Source organism: Homo sapiens, chromosome 1 (assembly GCF_000001405.40).
Source record: "Homo sapiens chromosome 1, GRCh38.p14 Primary Assembly".
In the NCBI taxonomy this organism is placed as follows: domain Eukaryota; kingdom Metazoa; phylum Chordata; class Mammalia; order Primates; family Hominidae; genus Homo; species Homo sapiens.
Genome location: NC_000001.11, coordinates 4,799,307 through 4,822,088, shown reverse-complemented (window position 1 = coordinate 4,822,088; position 22,782 = coordinate 4,799,307). Strand labels below are relative to the sequence as shown.

The 22,782-nt window shown below is 40.5% G+C and overlaps 1 annotated feature.

Moving 5' to 3' along the window:
* Nucleotides 434-1,024: an enhancer, noted in NCBI's record as "OCT4-NANOG hESC enhancer chr1:4881125-4881715 (GRCh37/hg19 assembly coordinates)". NCBI's record gives its function as "activates a minimal SCP1, AML or CMV promoter by ChIP-STARR-seq in primed H9 embryonic stem cells {active_cell/tissue: H9 hESC(primed)}" and the evidence as "EXISTENCE:reporter gene assay evidence [ECO:0000049][PMID:30033119]".

The following is a 22,782-nucleotide window of genomic DNA, read 5'->3' as shown; positions in this document are numbered from 1 at the left end:
TCTTCTCTTACCAGATGTCCCTAGGAGGAGTCATAGACCAGTTAAACTCCACCATTTTGCCTCTTAGTGTGCATGCTTGAACCCACTTGCCCAGCTCCTGAGATGTTATCGGAAGCTGCTGATCATGAGTTTCAGATGTTTCTATCTATTGGGGATACTGCTTTTCCCTGGCACTGGCTGCAACCAATTATTATTTTAGAGAAACAGTTTAACCACTGCTTGACCATCAGTGATTGTTGCCTGATATTTCTGGTTGGGGTTGTAGGGGCCAGGGGCGCTCTCTCCTGCCCTGCGTATGTCTGACCAACTACCTTCGGTAACATTATTATTAATGAATTACAGAAGATAATCTTTCTCTCAATCTCTCTTTCTCTTTCTGTCTCCCCAAACACCATCAAATGATGGGGTGCCTTGTCACCACTGCACGCAGTCATCAGGGCTAAAGCCAGAGGGGAAGAGTCTGGCTTCCCTCATGGTATTAGTCTGGGCCTTAGATGGGTTGGTAGGGTGGAGGGGGTCTGTGAATCCCCTCAAATAGCCCACAGTTTGGGCTCACGTTACCTTCTCTGGGGAGGGAATCCATGACTTTTCTCAAATAAGCAAAAAGTACAAAAGTCCCCAAGAGCCGCCAATTCCTGCTCCACTGGCCCTCCCTGGGACTTCAGTTTCCCCCATTAAGGCACTGAAGTTCCTATCATTATGCAAATATGTTAATAGAATAACATTTCCACCCATCAGGAATCATTAACATGAGTTAATCTACAAATTTAGAATAAGAAATGAAGAGGACAGGGATCCTAGGGGAACAGCCTGACTTCAATGTGAGAAGAACCTTGAAGGGCTTCCTTCAAGCCTGGACATTAACTCTCTCTTGACCAAGAAGAGGCCACATGTGTCTCTGCGCCTCCAGTTTTCACATCCGCAGAAGGAGAGGGCCAGTACAGAAGACCCTCCTGTGGTTACATCTTCATTTTAGTGTCTTTTTTAGGACAAAGCCTCTCATGTCCATTATAAATCCTTTGCTCTCTCCCTGGGAGGGGCCCTGGAGCAATGACTACCTGTAGCTTTGATTCCAGCTGCATCTGGGCATTCCCATGGGAAATCCAGGAGGTGTGCTTGGGAGAGCTATGGGACCTGGCCAAGGACCACAGAGAGGAAAGGTCATTCTCTGGGAGCTGCTTTTCAGGGTCTCTTATGGGCTCTGCACTTCCCTGGTTGGCTGCCTGCCTTTGGAATCATTGATGTCCATGGAAGTGATGCCACTGGCATTGTGCAATGTGCTCCCCATGCCACTGTGCACTGGTGGCCCTGTGTGTTTAACGCTTTCAATGACCACCCCTATTTTGCTGACATTGCTTAAATTTTTAAGTCATGAAATATAATATGTGTAGTGGAGCAAAAAATGACTTTACCCTTCTAGGTTCCTTGGCTGGGCTACAAATTAAATTGGCATAAGACAGATTAGCAGGAGGAGAATTATATTTAATTGTGTTTATACACACAGGAATCTCACAAAACATTAGACTTCAAGAAGGGTCAGATGATTAAAACTTATACACCATACTGAGCTATGAAAAAAAAAACAACCAGGAGCTTGGAGTTCTGGGGGGTGATGGGGACCACAGGTTACGGCAGGGCAAGAGGAGAAAATGTACAGTGAAGAAAGGCGGTCTTGTGCAGATTAAAGGTCGCTCAGGTAGTAATAGTCTGGGCATGGTGTCAACTTCCAGTTTTCTCCCCTGTGATGAGAGTTAATCTTCCCTGGTTGATAAAATTTCTGGGGAAATGATTCATTACAAGAGAGCTCCTTTTGGATAATCCAGTCTTTAGGCAGATCAAGGAAGCTCAAAGAAAGCCACTCCCTGCATTTGCTGCTTCCCAAGTGCCTTCAGTTTGAAGTAGTCAGCACACAAAGCAGCACGTTTGGGGTAGTGTTTTCTGAATACTTTCATTTGCATAAAGAACAGTGCATGAAACACATCACTGCTCAAATTAATACATAGTTCTAAAGTACACGACCATGTAACCATCCTTTGAATCAAGACGTGGAATATTACTAGCACCCCAGAAGGACCTTAGGGTTCCTTCAACAGGGGTGGCCAATGTAAGAGAAAATAAAATTTTAGGACTCCTTAAATTTATTATGCCAAGGGGGAAGTTAAGCCCTGGAGACTGAGTCAGTAGCATATTTCCAATTCTGTTTCTTAGATTATAGCATAACGGTCTTCCTCATTGCTCTTGTTCTGTAAATGACTAGGAGAGACAGAGACCAGATCTCCCTTCTTTCAATCATTGATCTTTATTATAGATTAATTGACTCTTTCTTGTCCTGTACCTAACTCAGACCAGATGGCCACCAAGACCCCATGACTGTTACATCTTTGATGCAGAAGGTTAATATACCTTTCCCATAAGAAAAAGGCCACCTTGATTAATCAGATTATTGTAACTATCCATTAAGCCTTACATAGAAAGATGTTGACATTCTGTTAAGCTTCCCCAAAATTTGTCTATATACACAATCCCACGGTTCAGCGCTTCGGAAGACTGAATGGAAGTCAATGGAAGACTGACTTCCACTCTTTGGCATCTGTGCTTTCCTGAGCAGCCTGTCTTCAAACTTTGGGCTTGAATAAACTCTCTTTAAACTAGATTCTAACCCTTTTGATAATTTTAGGTTGACACCATCATCTTGACTTTTACGGTGACAGTTTTCTTGCTTTTGTTGTTATTGCAATAGTTATGCTACCTAAGTGTGTATCCCTAAATACCAGACATCAGCTTTGCCTTTTGTGGAACTTAACAGAATATGTCTTATTTTGCATCTGACTTCTTTCATTCAAAATTACATTTGTGAGACTCATCCATGCATGTAGATGTAGTTCGTTTATTTTACTGCTGCTTAAGTATTTTTTCATAAGCATATACACAATTCATGTATCTATTCTACCAGTGATGGAAATCTGGCTTGTTTCAGTGTGGGCTGTGAAAGTAAATAATTCAAACATAAAGCTGTTGAAACTTTAAATTATTTTGAGCCTTGAGAAGAAAGTGGCTATGCTGCCTGAGTTACACAGCATACAGCTACAACTTCTGCTTTTTCCTGTAAACGAATAGGAAAGGTCTTGTTGCACCAGAGATAAGAACCCTCAGATCATCGCCCCTCTTCGTGTAGTGCTAAAGTGATCTTCCATGGAATATAGTGAGGTGTAACCAACCAAATCACTATAACATATGTACTGTGGAAAATGTTGCAACCTTGTCAACAGCTTGTATAGGGAAACCCTAACCTCCCCACTTTGGAATGCTGACCTATTCTTTTGGAGTCTGTATTTTCAGGGAGGCTGTTCTCAAGCTTTGTGCTCAAATAAACTCTCTGCTTCATCATATTTCCTGAATCTCATTATTTAAGGTTAACAGGGCTATTATAATCAATGTTGCTATGGACAATCTTGTATATATATCCAGGTGCATTTAGGCACCAGGGTATATACCTGGGAGTGAAATCAATATGTCATAGGAAATGTGTATATTCAACTTTGGTAGATAATGCTCCACTGTGTCACAGAACGGTTGTAACAATGAACATGCGTTTCTGTTGCTCTGCATCCTCAACCAACACTTGATGATGTCAGACTGTAATTTTTGCCAATCACATAGTACAAAGTGATATATTCTAGTGGATTTCATTTGCATTCCTCTGATCATTTTTTATGTGTTTATTGGCCATAGGTTTATACTAAGAAAGATTCTTTGCTTGACCAAACTTTAGTCAGGCTCCTGAACCTTCTCCTTGGCCCATCTGTGCACTTCCTTGCAAAATTATATTTTAGCAAAAAACCCTGCAAAGTAGTTTGCCAGAACACACCATGCTGATCACCCTCAGTGAAATCTGATCAGTTTCCTCATCCTCCACCCTCCCCCAGGTGAGGTCTGATCACCTTGGCCTGACTTCAGCAAGGATCCTATTAGGTGATCTTGTTAGCAGAATGCCCCTCACTCCTGACGTTTCTTTCCTCTTAGTCATGTTCCATGAATTGACTCCTCCCTGTTATCTGGCTATAAATGCCTACTTCCTGTGTTGTATTTGGAGCTGAGCCCAATCTCTCTCTTCTACCACAAGACCCCTTTGCAGTGGTCCTTATGCCCATCACAATGGTCCTGAATAGAGACTTCCTTCCTGTGCTTAACAAATGTCATTGAATAATTTTTCTTTAACAAGACTCCTTCTGAGGTGTCCACTCAACATGTTTGGCTCTTTTTAATGGGGCTATCTCACCTTAATTTTTTTTAATTTGTACATTTGCTTGTTTAATGGTGTACTAGTCAGGATTATCTGGAGGGACAGGACTAATAGGATAAATGTATATATGAAAGATAGTTTATTAAAGAGAATTAACTCATACAATCACAAGGTGAAGTCCCATAATACGATGTCTGCAAGCTGAGGAGCAAGGAAGCTAGTTTGAGTCCCAAAACCTCCAAAGTAGGGAAGCCAACAGTGCAGCCTTCAGTCTGTGGCCAAAGGCCCCAGAGCCCCTGGCAAACAACTGGTGTAAATCCAAGAGTCCAAAAGCTGAAGAACTTGGAGTCCAATGTTCCAGAGCAGGAAGCATCCAGCATGGGAGAAAGATGGAGGCCAGAAGACTCAGCTAGTCTATTTCTTCCAGACTCTTCTGCCTGCTTTATTCTAGCTGCACTGGCAGCTGGTTAGTTGGTGTCCACCCAGATTGAGGGTGGGTCTGCCTCTCGGAGTCCACTGACTCAAATATGATGTCCTTTGGCAACACCCTCACAGACACACCCAGGAATAATACTTCGCATCCTTCAATCAAGCAGACATTCAGTATTAACCATCACAAATGGCTTGTCTGCCCCTCATCCCTTGAGCAAATCAACTTCCAAATCCTTTCACTTTTTGTCTCAAATGCTTTTCCTCAGCTGTGCTCATTTTCCTCTGCTTTTTGCATATCTAACTTCATCCCTAAGTCTCCTGTCTAACCTCTTGCTACTGACCAAGAGGTTCACCTTGCCCACTATCTAGACATAGCCCATTCATCAAGACAGGGTAATTGCAAACGAGAAAGAGTAATTCATGTACAGCCGGCTGTGCGGGAGACTGGAGTTTTATTATTACTCAAATCAGCCTCCCTGAAGCATTCAGGGAGCAGAATTTTTAAGGACAACTTGGTGGGTGGGGGGAAGCCAGTGAGCCAGGAGTGCTGATTGGTCAAGAATGAAGTCATAGGGAGTGGAAGCTGTCTTGTTGTGCTGAGTCAGTTCCTGGGTGGGGGCCACAAGATCAGATGAGCCAGTTAATAGATCTGGGTGGTGCCAGCTGATCCATCAAGTGCAGGGTCTGAAAAATATCTCAAGCACTGATCTTAGGAGCAGTTTAGGGAGGGTCAGAATCTTGTAGCCTCCAGCTGCGTGACTCCTAAACCATCATTTCTAATCTCGTGGCTAATGTTAGTCCTACAAAGGCAGTCTAGTCCCCAGGCAAGAAGGGGGTCTGCTTTGGGAAAGGGTTGTTATTGCCTTTTTAAACTATGAACTATAAACTAAGTTTCTCTCAAAGTTATTTCAGCCTATGCCCATGAATGAACAAGGGCAGCTTGGAGGTTAGAAGCAGGATGGAGTTGATTAAGTCAGATCTCTTTTGCTGTCTCAGTCATAATTTTGCAAAGGTGGTTTTAATCTTACAACTTATTATCCACATGAGTGCCAGATGTGAGTATGGGAAACAAAACTCAATACGTTAGTCCCTGATTGAAACCCTTCATTAGTCAACATACATGAGATACATCTAATTCTTAGTCGACCACTTGAGGGCCATAGGTGGTGGCCTTTCTCCCCTCATCGGTGGGTTCTGCTGGGTCTTCCTTTTCATATTGTAGAACTGTAATGCTAGACAGATTGCAGTTGCCCCTGCAGGCTTCTGTGTTGTTGCATCTAGTTCTTCATGCTTGCTCCTGGAATACCCTTTGTACTTTAAAATATCAGCTTTCGGCAGGGTATGGTGGCTCACACCTGTAATGCCAGAACTTTGGGAGGCCAAGGCAGGAGGATGGATCACTTAAGCCCAGCAGTTAGAGACCAGCCTGGACAACATAGCAAGACCCTGGCCTCTATTAAAAAAAAAATTAGCCAAGAGTGGTGGCACTGGCCTGTAGTTCCAGCTACCCAGGTGGCTCAGGTGGGAGCACTGCTTGAGCCCAAGAACTCAAGGCTGCAGGAAGTTGTGATTGCACCATTGCACTCAGCCTGGGTGACAGAGCAACACTCTGTCTCAAAAAAAAAAACAAATTAACTTTACAGATGTGTAAGTTAAAAACCATAAAAATTATTCATTTTAAGTGTAGACTTTTGCTGAGTTTTGTCAAATGTGTAGCCATCACTGCCAAATATAAAATATTTTTACCACCCCCAAAAGTTGCCTTATGTTACTCAGCAATCAACCTCCTCACCCCCAACCCTTGACCCCAGGCAAACTCTGATATGCTTTGTGCCATCAAAGGCTAGTTTATTCTATTTTAGAATTTCATATAAGTAAAATCTTACAGTGTGTGCTTCTGTTTTTGTTTGCCTTGCTTTACTCCTCCATACCATCACATCTATCCATATTCTGATCTCTTGTGTTCCTGACTGGTATTTCTGTGTGTGGATCTATCTTCTGTTTTATTATTTCACCTGAGGATGAACATCTGGCTCTTTCCCAGTTTGTGCTATCATGAATAAAGCGGCATTGAGCATCTGTGAGCACATCTCTGTGGACATGCATTTTCATTTCTCTTAGGTAAACGTCTAGCAATGCATTGCTAGATTGCACAGTAAGTGTATGTTTAACTTACAAGAAGTTATCAACACCATTTTCCACAGTGGTTGCTCATGACCAGCAAGGCATGCAGATTCCAGGTGATGCACCTCCTTGGAACACTTGGTATTCGGTATTCTCACTTAGATTTTAGCCATTTTAGAGGTACAAAGGGATATCTCTTTTTACACACTTTTATTTGTATGTTCTGATGACTGAGGATGCTGAGTGCCTTTTCATGTGTTTATTTGTCATCATTGTGATGCATCCAATTGTTCTGCACATTTTAAAAATTGAGTTGTTTGTCTAATTTTATTGGATTCTCTAAATATTCTGGATACGTGTTCTTTGTCCGGAATGTATATTGTGGATATTTTCCCCTAGTCAGTGATGATTTGGCTTTATTTTCTTACTGATTTTTTTTTTGAAAAGTCAAAGTTTTTGATGTTGAATGAAGTCCAATTTATAATTTTTTCTTTTGTGCTTTGTTCTTTTTGTATCCCATAAAATCTTTGCTTACCTCAAGGTCATGAAGATGTCTTCTATATTTTATTCTACAAGTTTATAGTTTTAGCTTTTACATTTAAATCTAAGATCTATTCCAAGTTAATTTTTACATATGGTGTAAGATAAAAATGAAAGTTCTTTTTTTTTTGTATATGGGTGTTCATTACCTCTGGACCATTTTTGAAAGACTATCATTTCCCCATTAAATTACCTTGACACCTTTACTGAACATTAATTGACCATTGAAGTGTGAACTTATTTCGTAGATCTCTGTGCTGTTCCATTGACTTATGTGTCTATCCTTATGCCCATACCACACTGTCGTGATTACTGTGGCTTTATAATTCGTGTTGAAATGAAGAAGCAGCAAGCCTCCTATGTTGCTATTCTATTAAAAAAATTTTTTTTGTCTATTCTAGGTTTTCTTTGCATTTCCAGTAAATTTTAGAATCAGTTTGTTATTTTTTTAAGAAGTGTGCTGGGATTTTGAATGGGGTTATGTCAAATTTTTGATCAATGTGGGAGGAATTAACATCTTAATATTGAGTCTTTCAATCTTTGAACAAGATATTTCTCTCCATGTATGTAGAGATTTAATTTCTTTTAGCAATGTTCAGTAATTTTTTAGTGTACATTTAATATACATATGTATGTAAACATATATCCCCAAATATTTACATATTTTATATATTTGATATGTTATACATTATATAATTATGCAACTATATTGAATCCTTAAATATTTCACTTTTTTGATGCCATTGTAAATGATGCTGTTTTATGTCTCATTCTTCATTCTTTGCTGCCATTATATAGAGACAAATTTGATTTTTATATTTTGTCTTTGTTTATAGAGAACTTGTTGAATTTAGTTATTTTTTCTAGTAATGTTTTTAGACATTCCTTAGCATTTTTTACATTCATGGTCATGTCATCTGTGAATAAAGACAATTTCACTGCTTCCTGTTCAATTTGTATGCCTTTCATATATTTTCCTTGTATTTTTACACTGGCTATGACCTCCAGCAACATAGCGAATAGAAATAATGAGAATAGACATCTCCTTGTTATGTTTCTACAAATGGTCAGGTTTTCACCATTCAGTGTGATTTTTAGCAATATGCTTTTGTTTATGCTTTGAACGCCCTTTATCAATTAATAATGTTTCATCTGACTTCTACCTTGATAAGAGTTTTCAACATGATAGGTGTTGAATTTTGCCAGATGCTTCTGAAATGATCTTATGGGCTTTTTTCTGTTAATATGATGAAATATATTAATTGATTGAAACATTAGACCTACCTCATCCCTGAGTAAACCCTAGTTGGTATACCCTTTTTATGTATACCTGAATTTGGTATGGTAAGTTTGTATTAAAGATTTTTGCATCTATGTTAATGAGAGATATTGGTCTACACGGTGTGTGTGTGTGTGTGTGTGTGTGTGTGTGTGTGTGTGTTTTCCTTGGTAAAGTCTCATTTGGCTCCAATGCATAAATGAGGGGGGAGGTATATATTCTTTTATTTTGTGAAAAAGGTATGGGATTGGTATTATTTCTTCAGGACTGGCATTATTATTATTTACCAGTGTGAAACCATCTGGATCTGGCTTTTTCACTGTAGAAGGTTTTTAGTTGTGAACTGACTTAATAGCTATAGAGCTATCCAAATTTTTTCTTATTTTATCAATTTTGGTAACTTGTATCTGTTAAGGAATTTGTTCATTACATCTACATTGTTCATCTTATTGGCCTAAAGTTGTTCCTAATACATCCTTATTGCCTTTTTCATGTTTGGAGTATCTGTGTCCCATCTTTACTCTGATATGTTGTCTTATCTGTTTTTATTCATGATTTGTTTAGCTAGAATTTATGGTTTCTATAAATATTTACAAAGAACTCATTTTTGTTTCATTGATTTGTATTGTTTATTAATATTTTATTTTCTTGATTTTCACTCTTGTTTTTATTATTTTTTATATTAATTTTGGGTTAATTTCTTGTTTTTTCTAGATTCTTAAAGTGAAAAATTAGATCATTGTTCTTAGAACTTATTTTATAATATAAATTTTCAAAGTTTTAACTGTTCCTCTAAGCACTATTTTAGCTGCCTCACTCAAATTTTCATATGTTGTATTTTTATCCTCATTCAGTTCCAAATGTGTTCTAATTCTCCTTGTGATTTCCTCTTTATGTTTTCATTGTAGTCTGCTTAAAATATTTTCTAATATCCCTTCTAATTTTTGAGAGTGTTAATTCCTAAACGTTTAGATGCAATCCAAACATGTTTTGTTTTTCCTTTTGAATAAAATTTTATTGTGATCAGAGTATATACTCTGTATGATTTAAAATATTTTAAATTTATTGAAACTTGTTTTATGGCCCAATACATGGCTTATATTGGTGAATGTTGCATATGTACTTGTTAAGTATACATATTATGTTGTTGTTTGATGTAATTTTTGAAAAATGTCAAAAAGGTCAAAGCTATCGAGAGTGTTGTTCAAATCTTCTGTATCCTCCCTGATTTCCTGTCAAATTGTCCTATCAATACTAAGGAGTGTTGAAACTATAATTCCAAGTATATCTGTCTTTCAGTTCTGTCAGTTTTTCCTTAGTGTCTTTTGAAGTTCTGTCATTAGTTGCACAAATATTTAGAACTATGTCTTCTGCATAAGTAGATCCCTTTATTAGCGTAAAATATCCTTTTTACCAAAATTTTCTATGTCAGAAATTAATGTAACCACTCAAATTTTCTTATGATTGTTAGTAACATTGTACATCTTTTACCATTTTTTATAGTTGCAACTTATCAGTGTCTTTATATTTATGTTGTGTTTCTTGTAAACAGTATATAGATGGGTTTTTAACTAGTGATGTGCTGGGGCCAGCACATACTGACTCACAAGAGCTAATTGTTACATCTTCAGGAATTTTGCAAGCTGGTAGACGTCACCTTGTACCTTGACATTGACCATAGTGGAAGTCTTTACACCACAAAACCCACAATCGATACAAATTAGGACATTTATTTCTCTGGGGAGCTGGTTGTTAAACATTTAGCAGCAGACTGCTAGTTTTGTTTTGTTTTGTTTTTCTGTTCTATGATCTCTGCCTTTAAATAGAATATCACAACTCTTTACATTTAATGTAATTACTGACATGGTTAAGTTTAAGTCTATCATCCTATTATTTGTTTTCCATAGGTGTCAACCTTTCTGTTTTAAAGAAACAGACTTTATTTTTGGAACACTTTTAGGTTTACAGAACAACTGAGCAGAAAGTACAGAGATTTCCCAAATATCCCCTGCCCCCACACATGCATAGCCTCCCCCATTATCAATATCATCCACCAGCATGGTACATTTGTTAGAACTGACGAACCTACATTGAAACATCATTATCACACAAAGTCCGTAGTTTACATGGGGTTGATTTTTGGTAGGGTACATTCTATGAATTTGGATAAACTTATAATGATAGATATCTACCATTGCAATATATACAGAATAGTTTCACTGCCCCCTAAATCCTCTGCCTACCTCTCCCTTTCTCCCCTCAACCCCTAGAAACCACCGATAATTGTACTGTCTCCATAGTTTTGCCTTTTGGAATGTCACATAGTTGGAATTACATAGTATGTATGTAGCCTTTTCATATTGGCTTCTTTCACTTAGTAATATGCATTTCAAATTCATCCATGTCTTTTTGTGGCTTGATAGCTCATTTCTTTCTAGTGCTAATAATATTCCATTGTCTGAATGTACTACAGAGTATTTACACATTAGCCTACTAGAAGATTATCTTGCTTGCTTCCAAGTTATGGCAATTATGAATACAGCTGCTATCAATGTCTGTTTGCAGGTTTTTGTGTGAACATAAGCTTTCAACTTCTTTGGGTCAATACCAAGGAGCACAATTACTGACTCTATGTTAAGAATGTGTTCAGCATGAAACCATGAAACTGTCCTTCAAAGCTACTGTGCTATTTTACATTCTTACAACAGTCAATGAGAGTGTCTATTGCTTCACATCTTCATCAGCATTTGGTGTTGTCAGCGTTCTGGATTTTGGACATTCTGTTAGATGTGTAATGGTATCTCACTGTTTTAGTTTGCATTCCCTAATGGCTTACGATGTGGAGAATACTTTCATATTCTATTTGCCATCTGTATATCTTCATTGGTGAGGTGTTTGCTAAAGTCTTTGGCCCATTTTTAAATTGAGTTGTTTATTTTCTTATTGTTGAGTTTCAAGATTTCTTTGTATATTTTGAATAACAGTCCTTTATCAGATGTGTCTTTTGCAAATATTTTCACCCAGCTTGTGGCTTATCTTTTTATTCTCTTGACAGTGTCTTTCACAGAGCAGAAATTTTTAATTTTGGTGGAGATCCAGGTTGTGAGTTCTTTCATTTATGTATCAGGCCTGCGGTATTGTATCTAAAAAAATCATTACCAAACTCTAGGTCACATAGATTTTCTTCTATACTGTTTTCTAGGAATTTTATAGTTTTAAATCCTACATTTTGAGTTAACCTTTGTAAACATGTAAGGTTTGTGTCTAGAGTTATATTTTTGCCTATGAATGTCCAGTTGTTCCAGCATCATTTATTAAAAAGGCTCTCTTTTCTCCACTGTATTTTCTTTGTGCCTCTGACAAAGATCAGCTGACTATATTTATGTGAGTCTACTTCTGGCTCTCTAGGTGGTCCACTGATCTTTTTGTCAGTTCTTTCACCAATACCACATTGTCTTGATTATTGTAGTTTTACAGTAAGTCTTGAAGTTGGGTGGTGTCATTCTTTCAGTTTCGTTCTTCTTCAATAATGTGGAGGCGCTTTGTGGCCTTTTGCCTTTCCATATAGACTTTAGAATCAGTTTGTCAATATCCTCAAAATAACTTCCTGGAATTTTGATCGGAATTGCATTGAATCTATAGATCAAGTTGGGGAGAACTGACATCTTGACAACATTGAGTCTTTCTATCCATGAACATGGACTGGTTCTCCATTATTTAGGTTATTCAATTTCTTTCATCAGAGTTCTGTAGTTTTCTTCATATAGATTTTGTACATATTTTGTTAGGTTTCTATCTAAGTATTTTATTTGAGGGGGTGCCAATGCAAGTTATTTTACTTTTAATTTCAAATTGCAGTTGTTCATTGCTGGCATATAGGAAAATGATTAAATTTTGTATATTAATCTTATATTCTATAACCCAGCTATAATCACTTATTTCCAACAGTGTTTTTGTGTGTGTATGTGTGTGTGTGTGTGTGACTCTTTTGGATTTTCTACATAGATAAACATGTTATTTGTGAACAAAGACAGTTTCATTTACTCCTTCCCAATCCGTGTACTTTTCTTTTCTTGCCTTATTGCATTAGCTAAGACCTTCTCTCCAGGAGCTGAAATTCACAAAAGTTTGGGGGCCCAGTGAAAACCTTAGATTTAAAAAAAAAAAATCTTTCATACTTGTCACTATGAGGCCTCAGCAGTTAATCAATTACTCTACTTTGGCCCTGGTTTCTGCAGAGGTTTGTGCTCTCATGTGTTGTGATTTTCTGTATCTACCATCTGTCTCTCCAATTTTGGGGACAATGGTTTGCTTGTGATGTCACTTTTTTATGGATCTAAGAAGAGCTGCTGATTTTTTCCATTTGTTCAGCTTTTTACTTTTGTTAGGCTGAACTAGAAACTGTGTTTTTAATTTTTATTTTCCATCTTTTTCTGCCATACTTTGGATTAACTGAGTATCTTTTAGTATTCCATTTTATTTCCATCTCAGCTATACCTCTTTATTTTAATGTTTTAGTTATTTACATAGTTTATTTAGTTATTTATTTCAACTAATCCTTGTCTGAATTCAACTAATTTCATACCATTTCATGTGTAACATGAAAAGTTTACAAAAATGAACTTCTATTTCTCCCTACCATTCTTTGTGTTAATATTGTCATATATTTTACTTCAATATTTGTTTAGTCTCTGCAGAAAAGTATATTTTTTTGCTTTAAACAGTAAATTATCTTTTAAAAAGTCACAATAAAAATGTTTTATATTTACTCATTATATTACTCACTGTTCTCACACTGCTGTAAAGAAATACGTGAGACTGGGTAATTTACAAAGAAAAGAGGTTTAATTGGGTCACAGTTCTGCAGGCTGTACAGGAAGCATGATGCTTGGCTTCTGGGGTGGCCTCAGGAAACTTACAATTATGGCAGAAAGCAAAGGGGAAGCAGGCTCATTTTACATGGGTAGAGCAGGAGCAAGGGGGCAGTGTGGGGAGGTGCCACACACTTTTAAACAACCAGATCTTGTGAGAACTCACTCACTATACAGTACCAAGGGGGGATGGTACTAAACCATTCATGAGAATCCTGCCCCCTGATCCAATCACCTCCCACTAGGCCCCACCTCCAACACTGGGGATTACAATTGAACAGATATTTGGGGTGGGGGGACACAGATCCAAACCATATCACCCACATATTTACCGTTTATGTTTTTCATTATTTTGAGAAAATATGAGTTTCTTTTTGGTGTCATTTTCTTTCAACCACAAAAGTTTGAGTATTTCTTTGTGCAGGTTTGCAGATCATGAATTTTTTCAGCTTCTGTTGTCTCTGAAAGTTCTTATTGCCCCTTTCTTTTGAAGAATATTTTTTCTGAGCACAGAATTTCAGGTTTAATGTTTTTCTTTTATTTAAATTCAGAATTTCAGAGATCTAATTTCCTTTTCTTCTGTCTTGAATTGTTTTCAATGACATGTCTATAATAAGTATTATCTTTGTTGCCCTATATGAAAGTTGTCTTCTTACCCTGAAGATTTTAAAGATTTTCTCTTTATCACTGTTTTTTAGCAATTTGGTGATAATGTGTCTTTGTGTGGTTTTCTTTATGTTAATCCTGATGGATTAGGCTCCTGATGGATCTGTTTGGCTTCTTAGATCTTTGGGTTATATTTTCATCAGACTGAAAAAGTTTTCACCCACTATTCGTTCAAATATTTCTCTGACCCCTTTCCATCCTCCCTTTCTGGGCTTCCAATAACACATATGTGACACTGCTTGATTTTGCTCTAAAAATCACTAAGGCTTTGTCCTTTTTTTTTTTTTTTTTTTTTTTTTAGTCTTTTTTCTTTCTGGGTCTCAAATGGGTAATTTATACTTATGTATCTTCCAGTTCACCAATCTTTTTTTTTACTCATTGAATCTGCTGTTAAGTTGATCTAGGGAATTTTTCATTTCAGATACTTTATATTTTAAGGTCTGGTAATTCCACTGGGTGCTTTTTAATTCTTCTATTTATCTCATGATTTTGGTAATTTTCTTTAAATCCTTGAGCATGTCTATAGTTACTGTTTTAAAGACCATGTCAGTTAATTCCATCATCTTTGCGGTTTCTGGGTCTGCTTCTGTTTAATAAGTTTTCTTTGCATAGTTGGTCACATTACCTTTCTTTCTCTCATGTCTACTAATTTTTGATTTAATGATAGGCATTTTGATTATTACATTTTTAAGTGTCTGCATTTTTTTATCCTTCAGAGCACATTTAGTTTTGCTCTGGCCAAAGTTAAGTTACTTGTGGATCCTTTTGACATCTGGGTTTTATTTGTTTTGTTTTGTTTTCCTTTTTGAGACAGCATCTTGCTCTGTTGCACATGTTGGAGTGCAGTGGCATGAGCACAGCTTACTGCAGCCTCAACCTCCTGGGCTCAAGTGATTCTTCCACTTCAGCCTCCCAAGTAGCTGAGACTATAGGTGCATGCTATCACACCAAGCTAATTTTTGTATTTTTTGTAAAGACAGGGCCCCACTATGTTGCCCAGGCTGGTCTCAAACTCCTGAGCTCAACCCACCTTGGCCTCCCAAAGTGCTGGGATTACAGGTGTGAGCCACTCTGCCCAGCCTCTGTGATCTATTTTTAATATATTTTAATACAAGTCTATAGTAGCCTTTAATCTCTAGCCCTATTAATAAGGCATAACTCTGTAGTCTCCCCTGAGTGGCACAAGTGTTAAACAAAGTGTCTTTATTCTGGCTGATCAGAACTCAGGATTCCAGGAATTATTTATCCTAAAGCTCCCTGGTGGTTCTTTCAAAGTCTTATAGAGCTGTACACTATGCATTTGTTGCTCGGCATTCGGCAATTGACTCCTGAGAATCTCTATGCAGATTTATGAAGCTCTTTATTTCAACATGATTCTCTTTTCTTCAGTATCAAACCGCAGAACTTCCAGTCTCAGTTTTCCCAAACTCCAGACTCTGTCTCTTCACCTCATTGAGGCTGCTGTTGTCTACTTAGGTTCCCCTTCTCTATGCCACAGTATGAAAAATATGGCCTGGGAGAAAGGATTTGCCTTACTTGTTTCCCTTTCCTTAGGGATAACAGTCTTATACTGCCAGTTGTCCAGTGTTTCATAGTTTTTAAAATCCAGCTTTCTAGTTGCTTATGATGGGAGTACAAGTCTGATTCTATCTGGCATGATGGAAACGTAGCTCTATCTTCCTACCGACTCTTGAGTCAGTAAATACAGACCAGTCTGTCACTCATTGTCTGGCTTCTAATCTGTAATTACCTAGAGGACATTTCCTGCACTGCCATTATCTCTGAGTCACCATGTTCTAAAGTGAATTCCTTATCTTTCATTTCTCATCAGCTCTTCTTTCCAGCTCCCCTGAGTCTGTCAAGTTGAAAATCTTGGTCATCTTTAAACATTAACTTAATTGCTCACCTCCTATTTTTAATGAATTCCAGTTTCAAGGCATGCCAATTCTTCCTTGAAGATCTTTTCAATCTATTCCCTTCTCTCCATTTCCATTGCAACCTTACTAGGACAAGCCTCATCAATGCAATAATAACTTTCTAAATGGAAGCAGTAGGGGGAGGCTGGATGAAAGCATATATGCCAATGGCACAAGAATACCTCTGAATAATCAATAGGGTGCTTCAAACATGCCCTGCCCACTTCATATCCTGTGCCCTGAGCACATAAAGAACAATATTCATCCCCTCCACCATGCTCTCTCTCATTCTGAATCATCCCATGTAGTATTCCCTCTTCTAGGCTCACTCTTCTTTCCAACCCCTCCTCTCCACTCCCAACCACAGTTGGGAGGATAAGTTGTACTCATCCTTCAGTTCTCAAATTAAATACAGTTGACCCTTGAACAACATGAGAGTTAGGGGTGACCCACCACACACACAGTTGAAAATCTGCATAACTTTTGACTCCCCCAGAACTTAACTGCTAGTAACCTACTCTTGACCAGAAGTCTTACTGTTAACATAAACAGTCAACACGTATTTTGCATGTTATATGTATTACAAGCTGTTTTTACAATAATATAAGCTAGAATAAGGAAAATGTTATTCAGAAAATCATAAGGAAGAAAAAATATATTTACTATTCATTAGGTGAAAGTGGATAATCTTAACAGTCTTCATCCTTGTCATCTTCACATTGAGTAGGCTAAGGAGGGGGAAGAGAAGAGGTTAGTCTTTCTATCTCAGAGGTGACAGAAGTGGAAGAAAATTTGTGTATAAATGCACCTGTGCAGTTCAAACCCAAGTTATTTAAGGATCAACTGTATACCTTCTTTTAGAAATGCTTCCCTTTCCTCCTTTTCACAGTTGGGGTTGGGCGGCCCCTGGGTTTCTTTCCCAGTGGACCATTTCTCTCATTGCACAGTTTTGAAATTGTATCCTCCACCAGATTTTAGGATGAGGTTCCTGTAGCTCATATATTCATGGTGCTGCTACAATTACTACCCTATCAACAGTGCCTAACACAGGACCTGGCACAAGATGGATTATCACAAGATGATCAAGGAATATTTTTTGAATAAATGAATACCTGGATGAAGAAATAGAGTGATGTATACACTGTATGTTCTTGGTTCCATCAATGCAATCAAAACATATTCAGAGACTTATAGGAAGTCAGAGTTAGAAAAGACCTACAGGTAATCCTCCATTTAGAGTGGATGCCCCCTTTGCCACTCCCTAAGCAACAGTCAGCCAGACTGTGTTGAGTACACTCAATAACTGGGAACTTATTTTGGGTCATGGCATCCTGTTCCATCTCGGAGCTATTTTATTGTTAGAGATTGCACCAGAATCTTCTACCATATAATTTCTATCCACTGGTCTCAGTCTTCTCGGAAGGAGCGTAGACATGTGTTGTTCTTTATGCCCATCATAGCTCTTAAGTATCTGAAGATTTTCTGCATCATCCAAGTCTTCTGGATAATGATAACAACTGTCATTGTATCAGCTGATATTTTCAAGTGTTTACCGGCTTGCTTGAATTTTACAACAATCCCCCGAGATACTTCATATTTTCACTACTATTTTAGAGATGAGAAAACTTAATCTCACAAGAGGACCATGGAGAGATAGAAAGAGATGCCCAAGGAGCCCCAGCTGTTTGAGTCTCCCCAGCCCAGGCTCCACACATGAGTATGGGAGTGGTCAGAGGATTCCAGCCTCAGCCACCATCCACTGCAACCATAGGAGAGACCTTGAGGGAGAACCAGCTAGCTGAAGCCAGTCAACTCTCAGACTAGCTGGATATAAAAAATAAAATGACTGTTTTTGTTTTAAACAACAAAGTTGTGAGTGGCTTATCCCACAGCAACAGAAAACCAGACCACTAACATCTTGCACTGTCCCTTTAGGCTGAAGTTAGGACAGACTCTACACTAGGTGTGCACAGGGTAAATGCTCAGTAGATGGTACTGTCGTTGCTGCTCCACTATCACCAATACTGCTGTTACAGCAATGGGCACTGTATGACAGGCATAGTCAAATATTGTGGGAGGATAGGGCAGGAGTTGAGTAAACCCAAGTTACAGATAGGAGTGTTCTGGAAGAAGGAAAAGTGTCAGGTGAGTTGTACCCTGGAGAATATGAAATACCTTTCCTGGGAGGATAATTTATGCTGAGCAAACAGCTCAAGCATGGACCCTGAAGAGTAAGTTATACTGGGGACAATTGCTTTAGTCCCTGGGTTGAAGAGTGTGAGGAAGGGGGCCAAAAAGGCTGGAAAGGTGGGGAGGAACCCATCTAATCTGATGGCTTTTGAGAAAAGAAAGCAGCTTCTCATTGGCAGAAAAATAGCCAGGCTCTGTAGTCTTATTGTTTTGACTCTTCTCTGATGTCTCAGCCTGTGTGGCTTATCTTACTTGGGTGTCAAAAGCAAGAGCAATGGCCCTCCCACTTTATCTCAGGTGTGAACAGAGGATTTATCAGGTGCTAACAGGAGGGCTACATCTGTAAAAGATATGATCCTGATTTGGCCATTGCCCCACCATAGTTTTTGAAGTTGAGACTCTAAGGTCTTGCCTGGGCACTCTCCTTGTGGCTCCTTGTGTGCTCAGCCCAGCATCCCCAGCTGCAGGCAGGATACTGTGGAATGCTTGCCTATGCTTCCAGAACACAGCAGGAAAGGGCAGAGCAGAAGACAGACAGGCTGCCCCTCCCAGGTGTCCAGCAAAGGGCCTCACAATGCCTCTGTGGGCCAGCGTGTGTGCTTTCTGTGATGTTTGATATTCTTACACTCATCACCAGTCAGAGCAAAACCTTAGTAGAAGGGAAATAAAGAAATCCCCTTCTGGTGGTGCATTTCACCTTGGTGAGCTCCCAAAACTATGTATAGATGACAGAAGAAGACACCCAGAGAATAGCTTTGGGAGAAAACTGCTGCCTGACCATAACTGAACTGGACCTGGAAAGCCTGGATGAAACAGATGTGAGAATCCCCCATCAAGGGAAAAATGGAAATACTCCTAAAATAATTGTCTTTATCTTTGACGGAATAAAATACCCTCCCATCCCCACCAGTTGTCAGTTTCCAAGGGATTGCTCTTTTTTTTGGCAAAAAGTGATTTCAATGGTGTCTATTTCCTGGGTGAGTGGGTGAAATGAACCCCAGCCTTTCCTCAGGACTGTCACAAAGACAGAAGATGAATGAGTTTAGAGTTCTGTTAAGGCATTTGGACCAATAGGGAGCCACTCTGCACAGTTTTGTGCAGAGAATATTGAATGTCATTTTTGCAATGGCAGTGGGAAGAAGAGGAGAGAAGGTGAGCATCCCAATAAGGATGTGGTATAGACAGACTGGGTGCAGGTTAGTGAGGCTTGATCAGAACAGCATGTGTGTTAGTCCATTTGTGCTGCTACAACAAAATACCACAGGCCACGTAATATATAAAAAACAGAAAATTTATTTCTCACAGTTCCGGAGGCTGGGAAGTCCAAGATCAAGGCACAAGCATCCAGTACTTGGTGAAGGCCTTCTTGCTGTGTCCTCACATAGTCAGTGGGAGGGAAAGTGGGAATGAGCAATGTGCCCTCACATAGCAGAAGAGCAAAAAGAGTGAATTCCCCACCCACCCTGCAAGCCCTTTTCAGAGCAACGTTAATCCATTCATGAGGAAAGATCCTCATGGCCCAAACCCTCTCAAAAGGCCAGATCTCCCAACAGTGTTGCACTGGGGATTAAGTTTCAACATAACTTTTTGGAGAGGACAAAAGCATTCAACCCATAGCAATGCGGGAGAGATGGAGACAGGGGAGGGTTCAGAGCCGTTTCTGATGGGGGATCACTGATGCGTGTGGGGAGCTGGCCTCCGCAGGGATGGTGTCTTCATGCCTGGGTGGTCCCCTTGCCTTCTTCGGGACTGGGGAGCTCCCACCTTCTGCTCTGGCTCCTCCATCTTCACTCAGCAGCACATGCATCTTCTTCCTATCTGGCTACCTTCCTGCAGGCTTGAGACAGAGACAACTGTTGTATTGAGTCCAGTGGGTGGTGGGCAAGAGGTGAGCCACCCTGGAGGAGAGTATGGGGTAATAGAACTCTCATGACCTGGCCAGGATCCAGGTGTCTGTTTCCTCCCCAGATCACACCATAAGACCTTCTGCCCCTGTCCAGCCCCACTGTCTTTGTTGCTTTTACACATCACCGCCAGGCCCTGGCTTGGGTTCGGAGCAGCTGTGTGTGGACATTTTCCAGCACAGACATCTGGCTTCCTGGCGAGTACCCCAGTTGGCCGTGGAAACAGCTCTGTGTTTTGCTCCTCCTGCAGGTCCGCCCCCTCGGCCACGGGTCTTCCTCAAGTGGCCTGTTGGTCTGGCTGCCTGTTCTCAAGGCTCCTCTCTGGACTGCTGGCTCTGGTTTAGCTTCCCACTCAACCCTCTGTCTGCATCTCTTTTTTCAAATTCGGTCCTGTTCACAGCACTTCTTTGCTCAAAAGCACAAAGGGCTCCTCTACTCCTGAAGATGTGATTCTGCCCAAGTCGGGCACATCTGAGCCACCTGGGACACCCTCTAACATGAGACCCATTTAATCCGAAAGTGAGCCTCTTGTCCAGGCGACCCAGTGTGTTCCCCGCTGGTCTACAGAATGAAGTCAAAGTGTCTGAGCTCAGCATCAAAGCCTTCCTTGACCCATCCCAACAGCCTGCTGGAAATTGTACCTGGACAAGCTTCTGTGGCAGATGGGTCTCCTTCGTTTCCCAACATTGCTACCATCTACGATTTCCCTGGATACCTTCCCATCCTAGTCTGAATATGAGTCCCTACAGGACTTATGTGTTAATGCTTTATTGCAGGGAGTGTAATTCAGGGAGTGTAATTCTGGGAGTGAGACCGTTTGGAGGAAAGGAAGAGAAAAGGGGTGGAGGAAAACAAATGCAAGTTGGTGGTGAGTTATTGTGCTGGCCACAGCCTCCCAATCACCTTTGCTTGGTCAGGCTGGAATTCTCCAGAGAAACCACCTAGCAATGTCCTCTTTGGAGCAATCCATTAGGGAGAGGAAAGAAGAGGAATTTATCCACACAGCTCCTTCTTTCTTTCCTTCTCTCAAAGTTTGCCCCTCAGTTTAAATGACCTGGCATAGTGTGGCCACCTCTGGGGAAGCTGAGCCTTGTGTTTTCAGAGGGAGCTTCCAGGCACGATGTGCAGGGTGAGCCACAGGCGTGGGCCATGCACTGTCTGCCCACAGCCTGTAGCTGCATCTCACAGCCTGCCCTTGCAGACAGGCACGTGTGTAAGAGCCAGACAGGTTTTGGGGCATCTCGCACAGCTAAGGCGACAAGGAGGGTGGAAGATGGGAGGTGGGGGCATCAAATGAAGCCTTGTCTGGATGCAGGGTGGAGACATAGTGGCTTGAGAAGCCCAGTGAGCGGCTTGTTCAGGGGCCTGACCTCCACCGTGGAGGCCGTGATGAAGCTCAAGGAGGATTTCTCCACCAGAGTCCATCCTCTTCTATGGATTTCATGGACAAGTCTGGTGCCTGAGGACCTTCCTGGAGAGGCATCAACTGCACCGGTAGAATGCCTGCATGGCATGTCCTAGGGAGGCAAATATAATAGGGAAGGCGCAGCATCCTCCCCTCCCATGGGGCCCCTGGTCACTTGGCCTGTAGGCTCCTTCCCCTCTCGGGGCTCCCAGGCCCTGTCCTCTGTAACTTGTACATGCACAAATCACATGCTGTCTTGCATTGTTTATGTATGTGACTCTGTTTCCCTCCCTCTCCCAATGATACTTCTTCCCAGAACTTGCAAGTTCTCAAAGAATTCTGGTGGGAGAAGACACCTCTTCTGGGGGACTAGGCCAGAAGCCACTCAGCCCCCATCAGCCTCTTGTCATTTAGTGTGGTCTTTGGCTGGTAGTTTAGCAGGGAGGGGAAGCATGTGGGCACTGAGGTTGGACTATTTTGGCTGAAGTCAGGCTGTGTGACCAAGAGCAAGTTCCTCAACCTCTCTCTGACTCAGATTCTTCATTCATAAAGCTGGATGACACTAATGCCTACTTCATAGCATGGTCATGAGGAATAAATGAGGCAATGCAAGCCGCGTGCTTGGTGCTAGGTCTGCCGTCTGGAAGGGCTCGAACCCTCTTGTGATGCCACCATGGTGCAGGAGGAGAAAACTCATGTCTCCCTGCAAAGCTGCAGGATCTCTGGCTTCAAGGCGTTCACTCTTCCCCTCCTCACCTCCAGCAGCTACTCCAACAGCGTAGATTTTGTTTTCTTAGCAAAGCCCAGAAGGGAAGCAGAAAGATTCCACTCAAGGGGGTGTTGAGGCTTTCTTCCTAAAGCTCTAAAAGGCAGGCCCCATTCAAACCAGAGAAGGTGACCTTCGGTAGGCGGGGGAGAGGGAGAAGAGAAGAGAGAAAGTAGAGAAAGGGTGGTGTGTGGGAAGAGGGTGAGGAAAAGGGGTGACACACCAGCCCCCGGGTTGCGGATACAAGTGGTCCATGGAGCAGATCAGCCCTCATCTTCCTCCTGCGCCTCCCAATGGCCCTGCACGGGTAGAAAACCTGTGTCACGTATCCTAGGAATGCACAGATATTCCAAGCCTTCCTGCAGAAGAGGAGCCGCACTACCAGTTTTCATCACATTTGAGTTCAACCTAGTTATGTCGCTAATCAGTTTTTATATCCAGGCAAG